The sequence below is a fragment of the Homo sapiens genome, chromosome 1 (genome assembly GCF_000001405.40).
Source record: "Homo sapiens chromosome 1, GRCh38.p14 Primary Assembly".
NCBI lineage: Eukaryota > Metazoa > Chordata > Mammalia > Primates > Hominidae > Homo > Homo sapiens.
The window spans coordinates 183,453,058-183,477,055 of NC_000001.11; the positions used below are offsets into that span (position 1 = coordinate 183,453,058).

General features: G+C 41.9%; 1 protein-coding gene and 2 long non-coding RNA genes across 32 annotated transcripts in view, besides 3 other annotated features; 2 read left to right on the forward strand and 1 right to left on the reverse strand.

The window, feature by feature from the left end:
* LOC105371646 (uncharacterized) overlaps positions 1–9,826 on the forward strand; it is a 28,994-nt gene extending 19,168 nt beyond the window's left edge. For all 3 annotated transcript variants that reach the window (XR_922351.2, XR_007066764.1, XR_922350.2), the window contains 2 exons: positions 4,394–4,473; positions 8,986–9,826. This is a non-coding gene — a long non-coding RNA (uncharacterized LOC105371646). The remainder of the gene's footprint in view (positions 1–4,393; positions 4,474–8,985) is intronic.
* SMG7-AS1 (SMG7 antisense RNA 1) lies at positions 7,817–18,925 on the reverse strand. Its single transcript, NR_040063.1, has 5 exons — positions 17,663–18,925; positions 17,408–17,483; positions 16,617–16,742; positions 8,709–8,904; positions 7,817–8,611 (listed from the first exon to the last, which is right to left on the reverse strand). It is a non-coding gene; the product is annotated as an SMG7 antisense RNA 1 (long non-coding RNA).
* Positions 17,118–17,307: a silencer, noted in NCBI's record as "silent region_1630". NCBI's record gives its function as "represses an Ori minimal core promoter by ATAC-STARR-seq in GM12878 lymphoblastoid cells {active_cell/tissue: GM12878}" and the evidence as "EXISTENCE:reporter gene assay evidence [ECO:0000049][PMID:35858748]".
* Positions 18,493–19,124: an enhancer, noted in NCBI's record as "NANOG-H3K27ac-H3K4me1 hESC enhancer chr1:183440685-183441316 (GRCh37/hg19 assembly coordinates)". NCBI's record gives its function as "activates a minimal SCP1, AML or CMV promoter by ChIP-STARR-seq in primed H9 embryonic stem cells {active_cell/tissue: H9 hESC(primed)}" and the evidence as "EXISTENCE:reporter gene assay evidence [ECO:0000049][PMID:30033119]".
* Positions 19,280–19,429: a silencer, noted in NCBI's record as "silent region_1631". NCBI's record gives its function as "represses an Ori minimal core promoter by ATAC-STARR-seq in GM12878 lymphoblastoid cells {active_cell/tissue: GM12878}" and the evidence as "EXISTENCE:reporter gene assay evidence [ECO:0000049][PMID:35858748]".
* Positions 19,442–23,998, forward strand: part of SMG7 (SMG7 nonsense mediated mRNA decay factor) — an 81,693-nt gene continuing 77,136 nt past the window's right edge. For 21 of the 28 annotated variants that reach the window (NM_001394145.1, NM_001350220.2, NM_001394136.1 and 18 more), the window contains exon 1: positions 19,442–19,592. Coding sequence is in view for 5 of the 28 variants with exons in the window: in NM_001375584.1 (NP_001362513.1) it covers positions 19,564–19,592 (29 nt within the window). In the remaining 23 variants the exon portion in view is untranslated. Of the gene's footprint in view, positions 19,593–20,663; positions 20,842–23,998 lie in introns of those variants that run through there. The other 7 variants (NM_001394134.1, NM_001394138.1, NM_001394140.1 and 4 more) reach the window with 2 other exon arrangements.

Below are 23,998 nucleotides of genomic sequence, written 5' to 3' on the forward strand. Positions count from 1 at the left end.
GCTTGTTAAAGGTTTATTTATTTTATTGGTTTCCTCAAAGAACCCACTTTTGAATTTCTTAATCAATTTTACTTTTTTTTTCTTTCTTTTTTTTTTTTTTTTTAGAGATAGAGTCTTGCTCTGTCACCCAGGCTGGAGTACAGTGGCACAATCTTGGCTCACTGCAACCTCCACCTCCCGGGTTCAAGTGATTCTCCTGCCTCAGCCTCCCAAGCATCTGGGACTACAGGCGTGCACCACCACACCCAGCTAATTTTTTTGTATTTTTAGTAGAGATGGGGTTTCACCATGTTGGTCAGGCTGGTCTTGAACTCCTGACCTCAAATGATGCGCCCAGCTCGGCATCCCATAGTGCTGGGATTACAGGCGTGAGCTACCATGCCCGGCCTTTTTTTGTTTTTTGAAATGACTCTGTTCATTTTCCAGATTCTAGGGGTAGGTGTTTGCTCATTTACTTGAAATCATTTTTAATAAATGCATTTCATACCATACATTTCTTTCAAATGACTGAGTTACTTGCATTATACAAGTTGTTCCATGCAGTATTTTCTTTGTTACCCTTTTCTAAATGGTTTTTATTTTTAAGTCATGAGTTATTTATGAGTCTGTCATTAAGTTTCAAACTTAGTAAAATTGATTTCTAACTTTACTAAATTTTGGTCAGAGAATATAGTCTGTACTGTGGTGATTTTTGAAATAGCTGGCCTGGTATGTGCTCAAATTATATAAATGTTTAATGTGTGTTTGAAAAGAATATCTATTTGTTGGGTGGAGGGTTTTTACCTATGTATATAGATAGATATTACAGAAATCTTTCATTTCCTGGAGATGATCCATTCCCACTGAAATAGAAATCCAGATTTTAAACTGACTTTAAAATAAATACATTCAATAAGATAAAGAAATAAAAAAGAATCAAAGGTTAAGAAACAAACACAAAAGACATGAATAAAGTAAAGATAAATGTGAAAAATAATTACATAGGAAAATGGAGGCCAGGCATGGTGGCTCATGCCTGTAATCCTAACACTTTGGGAGGCAGAGGCAGAAGGACTGCTTGAGCCCAGGTGTTCGAGACCAGCCTGGGCAATATAGGGAGACCCCGTCCCTACAAAAAATTTTTAAAAAATTAGCCAGGCATGGTGGCATGCATCTGTAGTCCCAGCTATTCAGGGGGCTGAGGTAGGAGGACTGCTTGAGCTGGGAGTTTGAGACAAACTCTAAACTGCTCAGAGAAACAATTATTGAATAGTGAAAGTAAAGAAATGACCCAAAATTCAGCATGATATCAAAGAAAAGACATATTGTGGCAGTTTCAAATCATGGCCACAAATTCTTTGATACTCCTCCCATTAAGAGGTGGGTCTAGTTCCCACATTCCCAAACCGGGTGAGCTTGTGACTAAGTAAAGGTGGAAATGACATTATATATGACTTGTGAGGCTAGGCAATAAAATTTCATGCATTCCACCTTGTTTGCCAAAACACTCACTATTGGAGCCCTGGGCTACCATGTAAGAAGTCTGACTACCCTGAGGCCACTATGATGTGAGGAAACCGAAACCACATGGAGAAGTCATGTGTAGGCATTCCAATCTACAGTCCCAGCAGAGTGCCACCTCTGTCCCTCTAGCCCAGAGGCAGGTGAGTAAAAAATCCTCCAGTCATTCAAGTGACCACCCACTGTTCAAGTCTTCTCATCTGACACCCTGGATATCCTGAAATAGAGTCAAGCTATCCCTGATGTACCTGTTTCAAATATCTATGGTGCAGAATCTGTGAGCATAATACAATATTAATAGTTATTGCTTCTTGGCACTATGTTTTAGAGTGGTGTGTTTGTTACATAGCAATATATAGACAGAACACACGAAGGATGCATCTAATAGTAATTTCAGAAAGGGAATAAAATGAATGCTGGAAATAATATTTGTAGAGATGATACAGAGAATTTTTAAAAAGTGAAGTTGCATATTAAGTGCAAAATAATGAAAACAAATTCATACTTCGATGTACTGTAGTGAAGACACCTAACATTAAGGATAAAGGGCAAATTTTAAAAGCCACCCCAAAGAGAAAACACAGATAACCCATAAAAGAATGACAATTAGGCTGGGCGTGGTGGCTCATGCCTGTAATCCTAGCACTTTGGGAGGCTGAGGCGGGAGGATCATGAGGTCAGGAGTTTGAGACCAGCCTGGCCAACATGGTGAAACCCCGTCTCTACTTAAAATACAAAAATTAGTCGGGCATGGTGGCGGGCGCCTGTAATCCCAGCTACTCGGAAGGCTGAGGGAGGAGAATTGGTTGAACCCAGGAGGCGGAGGTTGCAGTGAGCCGAGATTGCACCACTGCACTCCAGCCTGGGTGACAGAGCAAGACTCCATCTCAAAAAAAAAAATGACAATTAGACACCAAACTTCTCATTAGCAGCAATAGAAACGAGAAGCCAATGCAATAATATCACCAAAGGACTGAGATGAAAATAATTGGCAACATAGGTTTCTATATCCAGCTAAGTGACAATTCAAGAATAATGAAATAGAAAACTTTTCTTTAAAACTGACTTTAACAAGCATACATTTTTATTGAAAGAGCTACTAAAAGATGCATTGTAGCAAGAAGAAAAGTGAATTCAGAATGAAAGCATCGTATTAAAGAAACAAATGGTAAAAACAAAAATTGATAAATTATGTTAAGTCAAATTACACATTGATTTTATAGTAACAGTTTTATGTTCTGATAAATATGGAACTAAAATTCTAGATAACAATGACTCCCAATACATTAGGTAGATAAAGCAGTCTTGGGGCTGGAGGATAACTGACTTTAAAAAACTTTAGAAATCCGCTGGGCGCGGTGGCTCACGCCTGTAATTCCAGCACTTTGGGAGGCCGAGGCGGGCGGATCACGAAGTCAGGAGGTCAGGAGATCGAGACCATCCTGGCTAACACGGTGGGACCCCGTCTCTACTAAAAATACAAAAAATCAGCCGGGCGTGGTGGTGGGAGCCTGTAGTCCCAGCTACTTAGGAGGCTGAGGCAGGAGAATGGCGTGAAACCTGGAGGCGGAGCTTGCAGTGAGCTAAGATGGCGCCACTGCACTCCGTCCTGGGCGACAGAGTGAGACTCCATCTCAACAACAACAACAACAACAAAAACTTTAGAAATCGTTAGGAAAATAAATGGTTAAGCATGCATGTCAAAATTTTAACAGTAGCTTCTGAAAGAACAGACAAAATATAACCCACTTCAAATAGAGGTAAAAGCAAGGGAATTTTCAAAAGTTATCAATCCAACAAAGGCAAGAGAGGCAAACAAACAACAACAACCACAAAAAAAAAAAAAAAAAAAGAGAAATCATTGCGAACAGAAAATCAAAAGTATATTGGAATCCCAGCACTTTGGGGATCCCAAGGCGGGCTGATCACCTAAGGTCAGAAGTTGAAGACCAGCCTGGCTAACATGGCGAAACCCTGTCTCTACTAAAAATACAAAAGGTAGCCAGGTACAGTGGCACGTGCCTGTAGTTCCAGCTACTTGGGAGGCTGAGGCAGGAGAATCACTTGAACCAAGGAGGGAGAGGTTGCAGTGAGCTGAGATCATGCCACTACACTCCAGGCTGGGCGACAGAATGAGACTTCCTCTCAAAAAAAAAATAAATAAATACATTGGTAGACATCAAAAGTAGACATTGGTAGAGATAAATTCAAATAGATCTTACTCATATAAATTGAACTTTTCAGTTAAAAACAGACTGTCAGGATTAAAAACAACAACAAAAAATCAGCTATATGCCACATACAAAAGATGTGGCCATAATAAAATAACATAGAAAAGGTTAAAAATAAAGGTAAAAGTTATAGCAAGCAAATGCTAAACAAAAGAAAGTTGAAGTTTAATATCAGTAGCAGACAAAAATAGTATAAAGCAAAAAGTATTAATAAGGATAAAAACATTACGTAATAATAAAAATTAAAAATTGCCAAGTTCTATCTAGCTGACCATATAACCATGATATAAAACAAAAACTAACAGAATTACACCAAAAATTAGTACATCAACACTATATTGAAATTAAAAAAAATTTTTTTTTTAAACAAGTTCTCACTGTGTTGCTCAGGCTAGGCTGAAACTTCTGGGCTCAATGGATTCTTCCACCTCAGCCCCCTGGGTAGCTGGATCTATAGGTCCATGCCACCAAGCCCAGGTGCTATATTGGAAAATTTAAATATGTCTTTTTAGAAATTCACAGATCAATTAAACAGAAACTAAATTGAAAGTTGGCAGATGTTTTTAGTATTGTTTTCCTTGTGTACAAATTGTAATTTGCAGGTCATCTAGAGTGATAGTTTTTCCTTTTTTTTAACTTATTCCGTTGGTTTCCTGTTTTAGCGTTGCGTCCATGTAGACCTGAGACCCCCTGGCTATGTGTCTCAGGATGTGTCCTTCAGTTCTGCCTCCTGAGCCTCAAGGTAGGTTAGCCTAAGTCTTGTGTGTGCTAGTTTGTTTCCTTTCACCACCATAACTAAGCAGTTTTTGTTGTTTTCTGTTTGCTTTGTTTTTTAAACTCTAGCCCAGGGTAGAAGTCACAGTTTTTCCCAAATTTCAGTTTCACAATGAACCTGACTAAGGTGCCCTACCATGTTTGGGGTGCCTTTGATCTCCACTACTGGGAAGGATTCAAACTCCTAGAAAACTTCTACCAGCTTCCATACTCAGAAGATCATCGAGGCTGTAGCTGTAGCCCCCACTAAACCAGTTGTGTTGGTCTTTTTTTTTTTTTTTTTTTTTTAAGATGCAGTCTCACTCTGTCGGCCAGGCTGGAGTGCAGTGGTGCAATCTTGGCTCACTGCAACCTCCGCCTCCTGGGTTCAAGCGATTCTCCTGCCTCAGCCTACCCAGTAGCTGGGATTATAGGTGTGTGCCCTCACACCCGGCTAATTTTTGAATTTTTGTAGAGACAGGGTTTCTCCATGTTGGCTAGGCTGGTTTCGAACTCCTGACCTCAGGTGATCCACCTGCCTCGACCTCCCAAAGTGCTGAGATTACAGGCATGAGCCACTGTGCCTGGCTGGTCTTTCATTTTGATGCCCAGAGATGATTGTTTTGTTAATGAACCCAGAGATGTCTTTTAATTTTTAATTAAATTTTATTATTGAAGTTCTTGGAGAAGATGTAGAAATTCAAAGTGTGAGCTCCACAAAACCATTTTGACCATTTTCCCATGACATTCTGGATGTGGGGAACTCTGGTCTTGCTACCTTTTTTGGCTTTCCTTAGTAATATGGATTCAGGCTTCTTGTATTCTCAAATGCCAGAAATCTATTTGGAATCTCTAAATCACAGGGCTTCTGGCTCAGGTAGAGGCAGAGTATAAAACCCCCTGTTTCTTGCTCTCCTCACTGACTTAATGTATACGACAATTAGAGACATTAAAACAATATATTCTGGTACTGAAACTCTTGCTCTTAAATTAGTCTTTATCCTAAATTTTTTCAAAGTCTATGCATTTTTGTAACCTTAAGTTTTGAAATCCAGTAGGGAAGGGGTGTAAGAAAAGGTGTGTGGAGGAAAACCCCACAATTACATCTCATTATTATTCTACCAGAGAAGAGATTTTCCTCTCTGCATTTATGTTCTGGAATCTACTTTTTCTCATTTCCCCAGAGGCCTCACTCTTATCTACCTCTCTCTCTCCCTCTTTTTTTTTTTTTTGAGACAGAGTCTTGCTCTGTCTCCCAGGCTGGAGTACAGTAGCATGATCATAGCTCACTGTAGCCTCGAATTCCTGGGCTCAAGAGATCGTCCCACCTCAGCCTTCCCAGTAGCTGGGACTATAGGTGCATGCCACCATGCCCAAGTTATTTTATTTTATTTTATTTTTAAGATGGAGTCTCCCTCTGTCACCCAGGCTGGAGTGCAGTGGCATGATCTTGGCTCACTGCAACCTCCACCTCCTGGGTTCAAGCGACTCTCCTGCCTCAGCCTCCCCAAGTAGCTGGGACTACAGGTGTGCACCACCACAGCCAGCTAATTTTTTTGTATTTTTAGTAGAGATGGGGTTTCACCATGTTGGCCAGGCTGGTCTCAAACTCTTGACCTCAGGTGATCTGCCCACCTCGGCCTCCCAAAGTGCTGGGATTACAGGTGTTGAGCCACCGTACCCGGCCTATTTTATTTTTTATGGAGACGAGGGTCTTGCTTTGTTGCCCATGTGGGTCTTAAACTCTTGGGCTTAAGTGATCCTCCAGCTTCCGCCTCCCAAAGTGCTGGGATTACAAGCATGAGCCACCATGCCTGGCTGGCCTCTATCCCTGATTTTTCTATATCGGATGTTTTCCTGCTGAAGTCTCCCACCTCTTTATAAGACAAAACTATCTTTCATTCATTTTGTAGGCAAGCTTTCTAAAAACCACACAAGTAGCTTTAATTACTATCTAACTGCTGATGACTCCCAAAGCTACAACTCTAGTACAGATTTCTCTCATGTTCTCCAGATACACAAGTTTTCTCAACCCCAGACAAATGTAGTTCAGCATGTCCAAAATAAATTCATTATCTCCACATCCCATACACCTCTCCAAACCTGTTCCTTCTCTCTTACATTTTCTATTTTCATCCATTTCTCAAGCAGAAACCTGAGAGTCTTCTTGATTCCTTCCCATCCAATAAATCACCCAGTTCTGTCATTATATTTCCATTTAAGGAATTTCTATAGTCACACATTTGTTAAGTACCACTAGAACCATAGCAGTATAATGAATTAAAGATGAGATTAGGCTGGGCACGGTGGCTCACCCATGTAATCCCAGCACTTTGGGAAGTTGAGGCGGGTGGATTGTTTGAGCCCAGGAGTTTGAGACCAGCCTGGGCAACATGGTGAAACCCCATCTCTACACAAAATAAAAAAATTAGCTGGGTGTGGTGGTGCACACTTGTGGTCCCAGCTACTCAAGAGGCTGAGGTGGGAGGATTGCTTGATCCCAGGAGATCAAGGATGCAATGGGCCATGATCATGCCACTGCACTACACTCCAGCCCAGCAACACAGTAAGACCCTGTCTCAAAAAAAAAAACATAAACAAAAAAAAAAACAAAACAAAAAAACCCCAAAAAACATGAGGTTAAAGTGGTAGAATGAAAAAAGATTTTTAATATCATTAAATTCAAGGTAAAAGATAATTTGGGTAAAGAAAACATAATTAGTACTACCAAATGGGTGTGGTGACTCATGCCTGTAATTCCAGCACTTTGGGAGGCCAAGGTGGGCAGATCACTTGAGGTCAGGAGTTTGAGACCAGCCTAGCCAACACGGTGAAACCCTGTCTCCACTAAAGATACAAAAAAATGAACTGGGCATGGTGGCATGCACCAGTAATCCCAGCTACTTGGGAGGCTGAGGCATGAGAATTGCTTGGATCCTGGAGGCAGAGGTTGCAGTGAACTGAGATTACCTCACTGCACTCCAGCCTGCATGACAGAGCAAGATCCGTCTCAAAAAAAAAAAAGAGGAGAAAATGAAAATTTACACGAGATTATTAGATTTAGTTCAAAGGTTTCTGGCTATCTATCTGAAGCTTACCTGAGGGGTAAAAGAGGACTTTCTGCAGAATATACAGTAGTTTACAACTGTCTGGACTACCTTATTTTGTTTTGTTTTGTTTTGTTTTAAATGGTATTTTCACTCATACTAAAATGGGTGAGAGTAGAGTGATATTCCACCTTGTACCCAAAGTCCATTGCTTCTCGGCTTTTTGGCAAAGATTAAGTGTAGTATCAAGTGTACACAAAGTCCAAATTCAAATGATACAATCTGTTTTGGAGAATATTGACATTTATTTATTTATGAGATAGGGTCTGGCTCTGTCACCCAGGCTTGAGTGCAGTGGCACGATCTTGGCTCACAGCAACCTCCATCTCCTAGGCTCAAGGGGTTCTCTCAGCTCAGCCTCCAGAGTAGCTGGTTCTACAGATGTGTACCACCATGCCCAGCTAATTTTGTTTTTTTTTTTTTTTTGGTAGAGATGGAGTTTTGCCATGTTGCCCAGGCTGGTCTCAAACTCCTGGGCTCAAGCAATCTGGAGAATATCGGTCCTCTAAATGGCAATATAAAGTTCCTCAGGGTGTATAGCTTCTTGAACTGGATCTTAAATGGAATCATTTCCAACTGTCATAGATTTTAGGCAGCAAAACTAGGGATGCCCCACTCAGAATTTAGAGATTGCTGAGTCTGGAAGTATACTTTAGAGGCAACAGAGTCCCTTTTCTTGATTTTAAGACAGACTGGGGATCTAGCCTCTTCTTAAAATCTCCCATGGAAAACAGATTATAATAGATGGGTGTCTGACAACTATTACTACCACCAGGCAATGTGCTTCTTTGCTCATCTATCTCTTCTTTCTCCTCTTCCAGGCTTCATGGTTTTCTTTTTTCTTTCTCTCTTCCCCTATTCTTTCTTCTTTCTCAATTCAGTTTTCCTGCCTCTTTTACTTTCTTACCCACAAATGGGGGAAAAAAAAAAAACCAAATGTGGAAGTTCCTGACTGGCCACATTCCAGAGAATTGAGGAAATGCAAGTTGTTACATAACTGGGCGGGGCCAGTAGCATGACCTAGAGTTGAGGGAGGGGCAGAAAATAATTTTAAAGGTAAGAAAAGGCAAAATGGCAAATAAAGACAAATTAAGATATAACTTTAAACTTCTTTTACTTAAAATAATTCTCTGTGAATTCCATTCAGGGCATGCCATCTTTCTCAGGCTGTGACGGTTCCCAGAAGTAGATCTGAAAATTACCAAAGAGGCATTTTGGTCTGTACTGGTGTATTAAAACATGATCATCCTCATCAATTTTTGCTCATACATAAGTATTAGTGCCTGATACTGCATTAGAGCCATAGGAATTGCCTGTAACAAGATTGTTTTTTTCAATCATCAGTTGTGAAAAGCTATTACACTTATCTTTTTTCTTTCTTTTTTTTCCTTTAGACAGTCTCACTCTGTTGCCCAGGCTGGAGTGCAGTGGCGCAATCTCGGCTCACTACAACCTCCACCTCCCGGATTCAAGTAATTCTTCTGCTTCAGCCTCCCAAGTAGCTGGGATTACAGGCGTGAGCCACTGCTCCCGGCCCTACACTTATCTTTAATGTGCTTCCTTTTCAATGTCTAATGTTACTTTCAGACTCCTATAATATAGAAGTTCAGGCATTCTTTAAAAACAATGCTAACCACCACCAAAACAACAATAACCATAATAAACTCAACTTTGCTTTTTGGTTGGCAGAAAATGTTGAAAAATGTATGAAATTAAAGCCAACCGTAAGTAGTCTACCTCAGAAATAGCTGCTATTAACATTTTATTATATGTATGACCATTTTCTATGTAATTCTATTTCATAGTTGCACTTTACATCTATAGTTTTGTATCTTTCAGGCATAATTTAGTATACTTTTAGCCATGGTTTTCCATCACTTTTCTGGTAGATGAGCTGTATGTATTCCTTTTCCTGCTGGGAAATAGAATGTGAACAAGTAAACTATGCAAAATCTCATTCTGAAGGACTTTACAGTTGACTGGGACACTTACGTGGATTATCTGATTGCATGCCTGTACTCGATCTCAAGTGGAATGGTTCCAAAGACCTCTACCACGGCATTTGTCACTCTATAATATAACTTCCCTTTTACTTAACTGTCTTTTAAACTTAAGCTCTGAGAGCAGGACTGTTTGTTCACCATTTTCACCCTAATGACTAGCATATGACCTGATACAATGAAAATTCTATTTATGAAAAGACTGAAAGACTGAATAAATTACTAAATACTAAAATTCTAGAGGATCCACAGCTCATCAAACTTCTCCATAGTAGCAGGATACACCAAGATTAAGATTCCCAGAAGTAAAATTTTAGTTTCGATATAGATTTGTCTTGAAAAAGCAGAGAAAGATGGGAATTGATCATCATCAATTGAACATGCTCTATAGATACTAAACTCAATTCTACCTAACATTCCTACAGTGCTTTCATGCTGAAATTTGACTGTTCCTCAAATACTTAGAGAAAATTAATTTCAGCTTCTTTCTACAGCTGGTAACCTTCTGTAACATCTAGGCCACTGCTGCCTGTATTTTGGAAATGTTGGCATTCCAGTTATTTGGCATGCCCTCTAGTCCTGGTCTTACCCACAGGAACATTGTTAAAGAACTAAAACTGGTGGGGTGCATTGACTCATGCCTGTAATCCCAGCACTTTGGGAGGTTAAGGCAGGTGGATTGCTTGAGCCCAGGAGTTCAAAACCAGCCTGAGAAACATGAAGAAACTCCATCTCTACTAAAAATACAAAAATTAGCCAGGCGTGGTGACATGTGCCTGTAGCCCCAGGTACTCAGGAGGTTGAGGTGGGAGAATGGCTTGAGCCTGGCAGGTTGAGGCTGCAGTGAGCTGTGATTATGCCACTACGCTACAGCCTGGGTGATAGTGAGAGACCCTGTCTCAAAACAACAACAAAACAACAACAACAACAACAACAAAAATTAAAACTATTCATGTCCTCTTGGACAAAGAAATGGATGACTTGGAGGACCATAATGGGAACATTATAGCCAATGGTTGAGAGAGCACGAGAGTGAAACAGCATGCAAGTCAAAGCCATTCCAGAGGTGTTAGTTTGAAAGAGGGCAGGGGAAAGCATAAACAGCTGGTTTTGCTCCGTAGAAGCCTCCTTATCCTCTTTAGCTTTGAACCAGATCTTGGCTCTCATTTCATTCAAATACAAAACAGCTAATGAACTGAGATATCCTTCACAAATAGATTAAAGAATTTATACTGGCCAGGCATGGTGGCTCACACCTGTAACCCCAGCACACTGGGAGGCTGAGGTGGGAGGATCACTTATCACTTGAGGTCAGGAGTTCATGACCAGCCTGGCAGACACAGTGAGACCTCAAAAATAAAGAAAATTTAGCTGGGCATGCTGGTACATGCCTGTAGTCCAGCTACTTGGGAGCTTGAGGTGGGAGAATCACTTGAGCCCAGGAGGTTGAGGCTGTAGTGAGCCGTGATTGCACCACTGCACTCCTGCCTGGGCAACAGAGTGAGACCCTGTCAAAAAGAAAGGAAAGGAGAGGAGAGGAGAGAGGAGAGGAAGAAAAGTGAAAAAAAGTAAAGAAAAGAAAAGAGAGGGGAGGGGAGGGAAGAGGGAAGGGGAAGGGAGGGAAGGGGAGGGGAGGAGAGGGCAGGGCAGGGCAAGAAAGAAAAGACAGAGAAAGAAAGAAAGAGAAGAAGGAAGGAAGGAAGGAAGGGTCATATGATAAAACTGGTCATATAGTTTTGAGGCAGTATGCTGTGTACCTCTACAGCAGTTTGTATTTGTTTTTAAAGGTGCATTTAACCTACATTAATTAGAGTGTGTATGCAGTTCTTATTCACCCTTTATATAAAGTAAGAGCATTCGTTGAGTGTCTACTAAGTGCCAGGCTGCTTACATATGTTACATGCCTTATTTAATTGAATTGAATTCAGAACCTGCCTCCAGAAACATAATTATCACATTTACTTTGAAATTGGATATAGCCCTTTCCTTAAAATCCTACATTCAGTTTACTTAGCCCTATCCCATTACAGGCAAAAAAATTAACAATAATAATGCTAGAATTTATAAACACTTCTCTGGTGAAAAATAGAGACCACTGAGCTTTCCATTCTACACCCTGATCCAATTTTCTTTCCGAAATTTTAAAGGTAACTTTTTGTATTACATTCTAATTAGCTGATAGCCTCTCTTCTCTTTTGCCATCCTTCCCTAGCACCCTCTCCTGCCACATAATGAAAGAATTAACTGCACCTAATCTCAAATTTAAAAACATAAAGTTAAATAAAAATAATTTGGACGTTGAAGACTTTTTCTACATCAAAGTCTGAGATGCTGTTGTGAGATAACTGATGAGTTATCCTTCATCTTATAACTGTGCATTTTACTCATTGCTTAAATATTTCATTTAATTACAACTTTAATCTTGTTAAATGTAATAGCAATTTCAATTACCGAGATTAGTTGAAGGCCCAATAAAATTATTTTCTTACTGCTTTAGGATTACTTCTAAAGAATACGTGGTCCAATTTTTTTTTTGTTTTAGAGATGGGGTCTCACTATGTTGCCCAGGCTGGTCTCGAATTCCTGGGCTGAAGCAATCTTCCACCTTGGCCTCCCAAAGTGCTGAGATTACAGGTGTGAGCCATTGTGCCCAGCTCCCAAATTTCTATTAATTTGGTTTTTGTTTTTTAATTCCTTGACTTAATGAACATTTATTGAGCATTCCTTGTATCTGGTGTTCTGCTAGGGAAGTGATAATACAAGAGTAAGCAAAATAGGCACAGCATCTACTCTTACAGAGCTTACAATTGGAGGTAACAGACATTAAACAAAGATTTACAAATATGAAAGACTTACAAATGCCATGAAAAAGAAGGGCAGAGTGCTATGGGAACATATAACCAGTTTAGCTAACTTAGCCTAATGGTTGGGGGTTGGAAAGTAGAGAAAGCTCGTCCAAAGAAGTTCAGATTTAGGCTTAAAGCATAGGTAGACATAAGAGTAGTCTGCGGAGAAGAATTACCCAGATAGAGGGAACAACTTATCTAAAGGCTCCGAGAAGAAAAGAACACTGCTTATTCAAGGACCTAGCAGAAGGTCACTATAGCTAGAGTGGTGATACCAGGGGGTGGGGAGGGTTGTCAGAGAAGAGGCAGGCAGAGACCAGAACAGAGGTCATCATAAGGATTGGAAACTTTATCCTAAGGGTAATGGAAAAGCAATGGAGACTTAAAGCCAGGGGAAAAAACTTTTTAAAAAGCTTAACATAGCTAAAATGTGGAATATACGTACACATTAATTTACTATTTAATTTGTTCCAGAATGTGTTCTTACATCTTAACCCAACAATATTAAGAATTGTTTTTAAGATGGAGCCTTGCTATGTTGCCCAGGCTGGCCCCAAACTCCTTGGCTCAAGTGATCCACCTGGCTCAGCCTCCTGAGTAGCTGAGATTATAGGCACCTGCCACTGTGCCAGGCTAATATTAAGAATTTTAACAAATATGACCAGGTGAGGTGGCTCACCTGTAATCCCATTACTTTGGGAAGCCAAGGCTGGAGGTTCTTGAGCCCAGGAGTTTGAGACCAGCCTGGGCAACATAGGGAGACTGCTGTTTCTACAAAAAATAAAAAAATTAGCTGGGCATCGTGAGGGAAGCCTGTAGTCCTAGCTACTCGAGAGGCTGAGGCAGGGGAATTACTTGAGCCCGGGGGTTGAGGCTGCAGTGAGCTGTGATCATGCCACTATACTCCAGCCTGGGCAACAGAGCAAGACCCTGTCTCAAAAAAAAAAAAAAAAAAAAAGAAAGAAAGAAAGAAAAAGAAAAAGAAAAGAAAGAACTTTTACATATATGGAACAAACTATCCAGGTTTTTGATATGTAAAAGTTTTCTGAGAATAGAAAAGACCCTGGGATTGTTAAGCAAAGCAAAAAAGTGCTTGGATGCATATTCTTAGTATGCCTTGAAGTGATGGACCTAAGTCCTAAGTTTCTTTGCTTTTCATCTTTATCACATTTTAACTTGAATTGCCAATTGAATTGGTACAATAATAATGTCAGGGAAAAGAGGAAGGTGTGTGTTATTTCGTTTTCACACTGCTATAAAGATACTACCCGAGACTGGGTAATTTATAAGCAAAGGGGGTTTAATTGACTCACAGTTCCATATAGTTGGGGAGGCCTCAGGAAACTTACAATCATGGTGGAAGGGGAAAAATGGACCTTCTTTACAAGGCAGCAGGGAGAGACAAACAAAGGAGGAAGTTCCAAACACTTACAAAAACATAAGATCTTGTGAGAACTCACTCACTCATGAGAACAGCATGGGGGAAACCACCCCCATGATCCAATCACCTCCCTCCCTGGACACGTGGGGATTACAGGTCCCTCCGTCAACATGTGGGGATTATAAATAGAGATCAGATTTGGGCAGGGACATAGGGCCAAACCATATCAGTGTGTGCATGTGTACATGCATGTACATGTTTCCCATGGTTTTGAAGAACAGATTTATGACAATGAATATCAGTATCACATTCTTAGTGCTCCAAATTACTATCTACCTGATAAAAGTTAGGAAAGTAGAAACTAGAAAATATTAAAAGATTATGTTATTTTAGTTGGGTGTTTTAAGAAAAATATGGCAACTTCTAGGTAACTGAACAGACTTTGACATGAAATATGTTGCTGTTAGATTAGGGACCCACAAGATGATTTCAGTAAGTACTGTGCTTCGGGTAGTAAAGAGATGCATGAACACTAAGGCCTTCTGCCAATAAAATAAGAGAGGCTACGGTTTTTGTTTTTGTTTTTCAATACTTTTCAATCTTTCCTATGAGCATCTCTTCTTGTCTTCTCCAGATTGTGTCCATTAAATCAGCAGATAAGAATTTTAGGTGTGGTAATTTCTCAGAGGTATTTGCTTATTGGGAGTTGGGGGAAACCTTGAAGATAGTAAGATTTCCCTTAGTAAATATTAGGAGAATGGAGAAGTGAAGGGGGAGAGAAAGCTCTGAATATTATTCCCCAACTGTCACCTCAGTGCCTCCCAAATCAGAAGTTTCTTTTCTTCAATCTTGGACTGCAATGATTCCCGACTATTCTTCAGGCTAAAAGACTCCCTCTTTGGAGTGAATGAATAAATATACACTTGGCAAACTGTTTGAAAAAGGCTACTGACCCTTGATCTAAGAAATCTTGAGCAACAGGAGACCTGAATTTAAATGTCAATTTGTATCTGACTCACTATTTGAAGAGAATGAATTACTCATTTGATTGAATCACTTAACTCTATGGTCTGAGGTGTGGTACTGAAGAGGAATGAATGGCTAGCTTCACACATATTGTGTACTGAGTATGCAACTGATAATAAATGTGTTTCTGCTTTGATGAGAATGATTTACCAAGTTCCTAATTGTGCACAGGATTTATAAACATTCAGAATATATAGGATAAATATTAAAATAAATTAGGGCTTGTTACGATGTCATGGCACAGGCTGTCTATTATTATAAAAAGGGAGGAGGCCTGCTATGTATTAATCGTCAGGTTACCAAAGCTCTGGGTAAATTTGGTAAGAATGTTAAGAGTAGCTTCTCAGCAAGTACTGTGTTTGATTGAAAAGAGGCCATTCCATCTACTTGGACAGAAATGTGGTTATATTAGCCTGTTTTATGTGATAAAAGGTTTTTGAAAAGTTTTAAATCTCTAGCATTGGACTCACAATGTCCTAATATTGTGTTCTTTTCTGTAATCAGTCATGAATAAAGAAATCTATCTTCTAGCACTGGATGCCAATAGATTTGAATGTGAGTTCAGACCTATGAGTATTATAGACAAAGACTAGATTGAGAGCTGGGTACAGTGATTCACACCTAAAATCCCAGCTACTTGTGAGGCTGAGGCGGGAGGACTGCTTGTGGCTAGGAGTTAGAGATAGATAGCCTGGGCAATACAGTTAGGCTGCATCTCTATTTAAAAAAAAAAAAGACTAGATAGAGTATTATTTTAAAAAATAATGTTATGCTGTAGTAGTTCTATTTTACTCTTTTTAGCTTGATATAAAAGAGCAAAAGGGACTGGGCAAGGTGGCTCACACCTGTAATCCCAGAACTTTGAGATGCCAAGGCAGGTGGATCACTTGAGGTCAGGAGTTTGAGACCAGCCTGGCCAACATGGTGAACCTTGTCTCTACTGAAAATACAAAAATTAGCTGGGCGTGGTGGCACACACCTGTAGTCCCAGCTACTTGGGAGGCTGAAGCACAAGAATTGCCTGAACCCAGGAGGCAGAGGTTGCAGTGAGCTGAAATTGTGCCACTGCACTCCAGCCTGGGTGACAGAGTAAGTCTCTGTCTCAAAAAAAAAAAAAAAAAAAGCAAAAAGGCAGAAAAAAATTTAATGTTTATCAAGTTCAGTGTTGTATAATGGGCACTCAATCATGTATGTCATCATTAAAGGTCACAGGAAGCCTATAACAGGTAATGCTTCCATTTTGGTCAAGGAGCAAACTGAAGTTCAGACACCAAGATGGCAGAGTTAGAATGCATACTCAGGTCCGTTAGCTTGTGATCTTTCCATGAAATCACTTAGCCAAAAAGACAAACCCAAAAACAAAATCTGGTAGGATTAATGTAAGTAAGGAAGCTTCTCTTTAATTTCTTTTGGTTTAGATGTGATCTTATATCTGTAGGGGGGAAAAGGTGAACAATATCTATTGCAAAAAGAAAGATGTTTGTAATTCTACAAGTTTGTTGACTAGGACAAGTGGAAATAGATGAAAATGGAAAATGTGTATTAAACAGTATATAAATAGAAGGTAATAATTTTTCTGAGTCCTATTGATTTTTGAAGGTAATTTTAATATTAGTATCAAAGTCTTCTAATCTCTAAAATATACTACTATTCTTCTATTTAGCTAGAGATATTGTAAAGCTATTGAAGACTCTTATAAGATTCTTAGGAAAGCTGCTATAAAACACAGACTTTATTATTTCTGACCTCATGTGTTCCTACTTTGTTCTTACCCCAATTACTGCATCCCTCATATTGCATCCTAATCATTACTCTGAGCTCTCTACCAGCAGTTGGGTTTCCTCAAGGCAGGGACCAGGTCTCTTTCACTGTGGTGTCCATCATAACCAGAACAGTGTCTGAAATATAATAAGTACTCAGTAAATGTTTATGGAATAAATCAGCAAACACTAACAAAAGGATTCATCTTTCTGATCCGTTTCTCTATTTCCAAAATGAGAAGATAGTAGTAATATTTTCCTAGATTGCTTATCAGGAATGTATGATAACTGTTCATACACTCTTTATTGGAGATATGTGCCACAGACATAAATGGCTATTACCATGATTAGTAAGGGGGTAATTATTACAATTTTTATTCTGGTTGAAATCTAACCAATTAAAAAATCTAACCAATACACGATCACACTGGTCTTTAAATTAAAAAAAAAAAAGAAAAATATCTAACCAATAAATTTTCGGAAAGAAATGTAGGCTATTTGAGGTAATAGGTAGTAGGAGTGTCTATCCTTGGGCGCTCATGGTAGAAAGAAAAGCAGAACCCCACCGCGGAAATGAGAATAATCCCTCACTAGGTGGCTCTCTTTGCCGTGAGTGGGCGGCGCGTCGGGGCGGGGCGGGTGATTGGGGGCATTGTACTGCCGCAAGCGCTGCGTGTCACGCCGCACCATACCAGGCGCTGGCAGCATGAGGGGCATAGTCCACTTTCTATTTCGTTAATGACAATCTGTCCTTGGAATTTATTTCAAAGCAGGTTGTACTTTCGTTTCCGCTAAACTTATACCTGATGTTTCAACTGAACATTGGTATAGTCTTATTGGTGCAGGTCTCAGAGAAGGATCTTGAAAGTGCCTCTTCACCTGGCGTAGAAAAAGACAGCAGGAATCAGGTAGCCAAACCAGACCAAACCAAATCAAAATAGCCCATTAAAATCCTTATTTTAACTATCCTATGAGGGCTGCATTCTTGGAAGGTTTTATATAGTTACATATCCTAAAGTACTTTGGGATAGCTCCTTAAGTGACTCCACAATACGAACCGAAAATATAACTTGTAAAACGTCAATTTCTTCAAGTCATGGATGATGAATTTTCCAGCTATTTCTCATACACTTCATATTATTATTGACTTCGTTCTTTATTTCAGCTTTTTGGCCCGAAACCTGACACAAAACACACATAATAAATATCCAAAAAGATTTGTTCTAAGAATGAAACTTCTTTTCCTAGACTCCTTTCACCAGACAGATGTATCTAGGGTTCGTTCTTCTTGATCCTCTTTTATCCGATGTTTTCCTCTCTAACTCAACGACACAGAATGACGACTTTTAAAACACTGCAGACCCGTGAGAAGAGAAAGGTTGCAGAGCAGGGAGGAACTTGGAGGTCTGCCTTTAATAATCAAGCAGGATCCCCACTGCGGGGTGCCTATCAGAGTGATGGCGCTAGTCAGCCTTCCGGCTTGTCCCCGGCTTAAATGATAGAAAACCACGTGTTAGCCTTCTAGGATGTGTTCCCACCCTCACCCTGGCCTCCTCGCGGCAGGCTCGCGACAGCTAGGTCAGGAGGGAGTACGCGGGTGGGGTGGATTTGGGGGAGGGGTCGACTCGCCAGAAGTCGGCTATCCCCGTCGGCAGGGAAGGCATCGCGGCTGTCGTGTGCCGCTCTCCTCCCTCAGGGACCCCGTCCAGGCGGGATCCCGCCTCCCAGAGCCCAAGGCAGTTGTGGGGAAACCCCTTGCCCTTCCTCGCCGCTTGGCGCTGTCGCCTCGCCCTCCCGACTCCAGCCCGCCGCCCGCCAGCCTCCAGGCCATGCATCCTCTTCGCAGGCCCAGCCCTCTCCACGCCCGGCTCTGAGAGGAAACTACGGAGGTGGTTCCCGCTCGCAGGCGGGTGGAAAAGCCCATGGTGAATGCCTCGGGGTGTCCCCCCAGTTGCTGTGGGAAGTGGGAAGGGAGGAGGAAGTGGACTTCACCACCGGGGAGAACTATATCGATTCCTAACTTGGGGGAGGCCTTTAGATGGAAGGGAAGCCAACGGGGAACCCTGGGTGGTTTCCTGGGAATCCATTGGCCAAGGGGAGGGTGACCCTGTCCGCACACATCGGTTACTATGACAATATAACCACAGCCTCCAGTTGCCATGGCAGCTGCCTATCCAATCCGATTGTCTTCTCTTCCTCTCCGGGCCCCACCTTATCCCCTCCAAGAGTCTCCCAGCGTGCATGGGGAGGGGCTGCAGCGAAGAGGAGAGGGGGTCCTTCGAGTCACTCTCTACGCGCGAGGGAAGACAGGCGTTGAGGGACTGCTGGGAGGAACTGTAGGAGGAAGGGGCGGCGTTTCCGGTGGGGAAGAGTGGAGGCGTGCAAAAAGGAAGAGGGAAATCGGCAGGAGTGATAAGAAGGGGGAAGACTTTGAGTGTAACTCCCGTTCTTTTGGCCTGGGTGTTCCCGGTGGTGGGATTGGGATTGCCCCCTTGCGCGGGAGGAGAAGGGTGGATTGGCAGGAAGCCGCCAAGCGCCACCAGCCGGTCTCTCAGAAGCCGCACAGGCGCCACACAGCTCGTTGATCCCAAAAGGGAGCGCTACAGAGAGGCGGAAATCACTGAGGGACAGGCGCTGCTGAAATCTCGCGAGAGGGACCCCCTCCCTCGCCCGGTCGCCGACTTCCTCTGCTTCTCCTCTTTCCCCCGCCCCTCCTCCCTCCCCCTCCCCCCCGGGTCGGAGTGTCCCTGCGCCCCACGGGCCAGAGCAGCAGCGAGAGCAGCTTTCCCCACTCCCTCCCCCTCGCCTCATTCACCCCCACCCCCCTGCCGAGCGAGGAGGAGCCGGAGGAGAGGAAGATGGCGGCGGCCGCCAGCACCCGCGGTGCCGCGGGGCCGCTCCGAGGAGCCTGAGAGACCCACGGAGGCTTCGCGGGAAGACGCGGCGGCGGCGGCGGAGGATGAGCCTGCAGAGCGCGCAGTACCTCCGGTGAGTGCCGAGGCCGGGCTGGTACGTAGGGGGAGCGGGCCGCAGGTTGGGGCATGGAGCAACAGACACCGAGGTAAGTCCGGGGTGGCGGGGGAGTTGCTGCGTCCTCTCCTCGCCGGGCAGGTCGGCGGAGACTGCAAGGGGATCTGCGGGAGGGGGCGGAACGGGTATGGGTGCCTAGCCCCTACCGCCCGGGCTGAGCTCTGGCGAAGCCGGCTCGTCCCGGTGCGAGGAGGGAGGTTGGGGAAGCGTGAGAATGTGCGCGCGCGCCCTTGGTCTCGGGTTTGCTAGCGAGGGGTGGAGAGAAACGTCCGGGGAGGCGGCGGCGACCCCGAGTGGAGGTGGGTGTGGAGGAGTCTGATCCCCGTGGCAGGGGACTCGTGGTGTGGCGTGGGATTGGTTGGAGCGATGCATGAGTAGAGGACGGGGAGGAAGTCTGCACACCTGGGGTGTTGGGGCGGGGGAACCGCGGAGGGCAGACAGGGGGAGAGGGAGACCGCAGGAAACTGGAGCTTGTTCTTCATTCTCGGGTTGGGAGTATTGAGGAATAATGTCATCTGTAGTTAGTTGGCGGTGTGGGGAGGCGTGAAGGGGAATAGATGGGGAAGTGAGGAAAGAGGGAGGCACTGTGGACAAGGTTGGGTTTTTCAGAAGAAACTGGGTTAGAATCAGTGTAGTCGGAAGATACCATTCTGAGAGTCGTGTGTATTCATTAAGAGTGGTGTAAGGAACTTGTATGTCAGAGGTAGAGTGACACATGGGAATAGTGTGTGTGTGTGCGAGATGTGTGTCTGGGGTGGGGGGCGCGGCGATTGATGCACATTTCAGGATGAAGATGTAGATAGGTTGAACTTAGTACCTGATGGCGAGAACATATTGAATGGAAGGACACCAGCTTTTGTGTCAGCTGAAAGGTTCCATGGAAGCTGAGTAAGAGCTTGGAGGCAGAGGTAAAGTGGGTCAAAAATCTTGATAGAGAAAAGTAAGGTTGTTAGATCCTGAAATTAACTGGGGAGTGACTACTGCTTAGAAAAGGGGAAGACTTTAAAATTGGTCCTTTTTGTCTTTCAGGAGCAGAACTAAGAAAGGGAGGCCTTATGGAAAGATGTTTTTTAAAAAATTGTTTCATACCTTGCGGAGGAGGGAGTTGGATGAGGTGGAAGTCTGAAATGAGTGGAAAAGTCACTTTAGCTGTTTAGTGACATGAAAGTATTGACGTGTGTGGATCCCTATATGTATATTGCAAGAGGTGTGTAGTTACCTGATACATAGGGTGGCCATTATAATTTTTAAAGTAGTAAAGTTTTATTAAGCATAATAGGGAGAGAAGAGAATGATGAGATATTTGAACAATGCTTGAATGCTTGATTTTAACACAACATATATGCCCAGTGACCACAGGACAGTTGGAATGATGTCTGTAATTTGAGGTCCTTTTTTTCATCTTAGATATCCCTTTGTTGTTTAATATTTCAAATAAATATAGCTATGACAAAGATCTGTTGTAGGTGCTATAGAGAGATGGAAACCATCAGGGTGCTGATTAGTCTTAAGGAATTTGCAGTTGAGTATCTGTTAGGCAAGTAAATTAAACAGCACAGAGTGTAAGTACCATGAAAGATACCAAACGTTGCCGGGCACGGGGGCTCACGCCTGTAATCCCAGCACTTTGGGAGGCCTAGGCGGGAGGATCACCTGAGGTCAGGAGTTCAAGACCAGCCTGGCCAGCATGGTGAAACCACGTCTCTACTAAAAATACAAAAAATTAGCTGGGCATGGTGGTGGGCGCCTGTAATGCCGGCTACTCGGGAGGCTGAGGCAGGAGAATCGCTTGAACCCGGGAGGCAGAGGTTGCAGTGAGCCGAGATGGCGTCATTGCACTCCAGCCTGGGCAACAAGAGTGAAACTTCGTCTCAATAAATAAGTAAATACATAAATAAAAATAAAAGATACGAAGTGTTTTGAGTCCAAAGGCAGGAGATCACCTGAGCAATGGGAGGAAATCAGGAAAGACTTTGTTTATTTGCTCATTCATGTACTCATGATTCATTAGTTGTTTTGTTGATCACCTGTATGGGAGGCATTGTACCAACATCTGAGAATAGAAAAAGAACAACTCCACCCTCCTTTTACAGAGCTTACACTTTGTTAGACTTCAAGAAAATGGCACTTAGGATATTGTTCATCCTTAATGTTCATTTTGACAGATGTGGATTGAGAAGCGGGGAATTCCAAATGGAAGGAAACTGAGCAGAGTTATGTAGGTAGGGAAGCTGGGGGGAAGGGAGGTATTCAGTCCAGTTAGACAACAAGGTAGTGTGATATAGCTGAGAAAACTTAAGAGTTGTAGAGATTATCAAGTTTGACCCTTTCCTTTTACACATGAGGAATGTAAGCCCAAAGAAGGTAAAATTGTTGAGGCTCATATAGCTGGTATGTGGAAACTAACTGAAATGTAGGTCTTCTAACTTCAAGTCAGCTGTAGTACACTGCATGTCAGTATTCATCTGTTCTTTCCACAAATATAAGTTGAGAACATAATATATTCTAGTGTTGAGGGTACACTGGTGAATAAAAGGGTGAACATGGGAGGATATATTATAGTAGAAGGGCACAGTCAGTAAACATAGCAGTTAAATATATATCAGGTGGTCACAAGCACTAGGAAGAGGAATAAAGTAAGACAGGGATGTACTGTTTTATCTGGACAAAGTGGTCGGGGAAATCCTATTTGATAAGGTGACCATATTTAAGAGGATCCTGAATATCATGTTCCATAATTTATAGTTAAAATGGGTAGACAATGGAGAATCTGAGATGATTTGCTAGAATTAATATGTTCACAGCTATGTGTTAGGAAAATGACTCTGTGTAATGTAGTGGTGGATAACAGAGAAAAGTAAGGTTGTTAGAGCCTGACATTAATTGGGGAGTGACTACTGCTTAGAAAAGGGGAAGACTTCAAAATTGGTCCTTTTTGTAAGGTTCTTTTCCTTACAAAAGATTCCCTTTGGGACTTTGGTCCTGAATAAGGTACTGGCAGTGGATCTAGAAAGTTATGAAAAACAAATTGGCAGAGTGGTGGTACTTTTAATGGGGAAGATCAGTGGACTTTGAGAGGCTTCTTGTTAATGTGCCTTATATTTTATAGCTTGACATGGTAGGGAAGACTTCCTTAGATGTGGAATCAATGATAGTTTGAGATGAACTTAGTTCTTTGAAGAAGGGAGAAAAAAAATGAATACAATGATATTTTTCAGCTAAAATTGAGCAGGCAAAATGGGGGAGGCATAGGTCCTGGGGTCCCTTAAAGATTCCTGGAGCCAGTCTTGTCTCAATCTTAGGCATTTGTCCTAAGTAAATTAAAACAAGTGTTAGAAGTCTGAGACCTAGGTGGTGGTTGTGGGAATCATAAAGGCTTGTGCCAGTCTGAATTTCCCTCCTCCTCTTTTAGATAATCATTCCATTTAAAGTCTGCAGTGGGGACACTAGAGAATGTCTTTAGGGAAGCATTATGTTCACGTTCTTTGAAAATAGAACTGTTGGTTTTTATAGACACTTCAGGGAGGATGCCGAGTATTGCTGAATGGATGTGGTTGGGGGGTGTAGCAATTGTTTTCGTGACCTTGACTTGAAGAATTTTCTTGCCTACCTTTGTCAGTGGTGGAAGATCATGACTGGGCAATTTTTAATCTCTATAGCTACAGATCCTGCCTCATGTAGATGAAAATTAGTTTTGTCTTGGCTGAATTTTAATTTGTTAGAGTAAATGAGCTGGGATGTCTGGCATTGAAATGGTGGGGTGGTGGGAAACCAAGGAGCAAGATGGCTGTTTCAGAAGGGTCAGAAATGAAGATAGGAGGCAAGAAGTCCCAGTAAGACCAATAAAGAGAGAATTCAACATCAAGGGAACTGAATTAGTCTCAAGTTATAAAAATAGAGCAGAGATGAAAGGAAGAAAACCTATCTTCTATGTGGGAAAGATGATGATATTCTGGGCAGGAAAGGATAATGAAATTTTTTGTTTGTTGAAAGGTAAGTATCTTTTTAATACACTGACAAGACTTCTAAGAGAATCAGTTAAGTTGAAAATACTTTGTTATGTTTTATAAAAATAAAAATATGATCTTAAATATGAGGGTTCTAGGCCGAATAACATTGGGAATTTATTACTCAAATTGAAGGAGAATTCAGAGTATTTTCTCTTTTGATTTATGACAGAATGAAAGATTTTAAAAGACTTTGACACCTCTGTTGAGTAAAAGAAAGGGTGTATTGAATACAATTCATTTGATGGGGGTAGGAGAAGGTTAGGATAGGCCGCAGGTGAGGTATAATATTATGCTTTAAAATAATGGCATTTTGAAAAAAAGAAAAGTGGAAATTAACATATCAAAGTTGGAAAA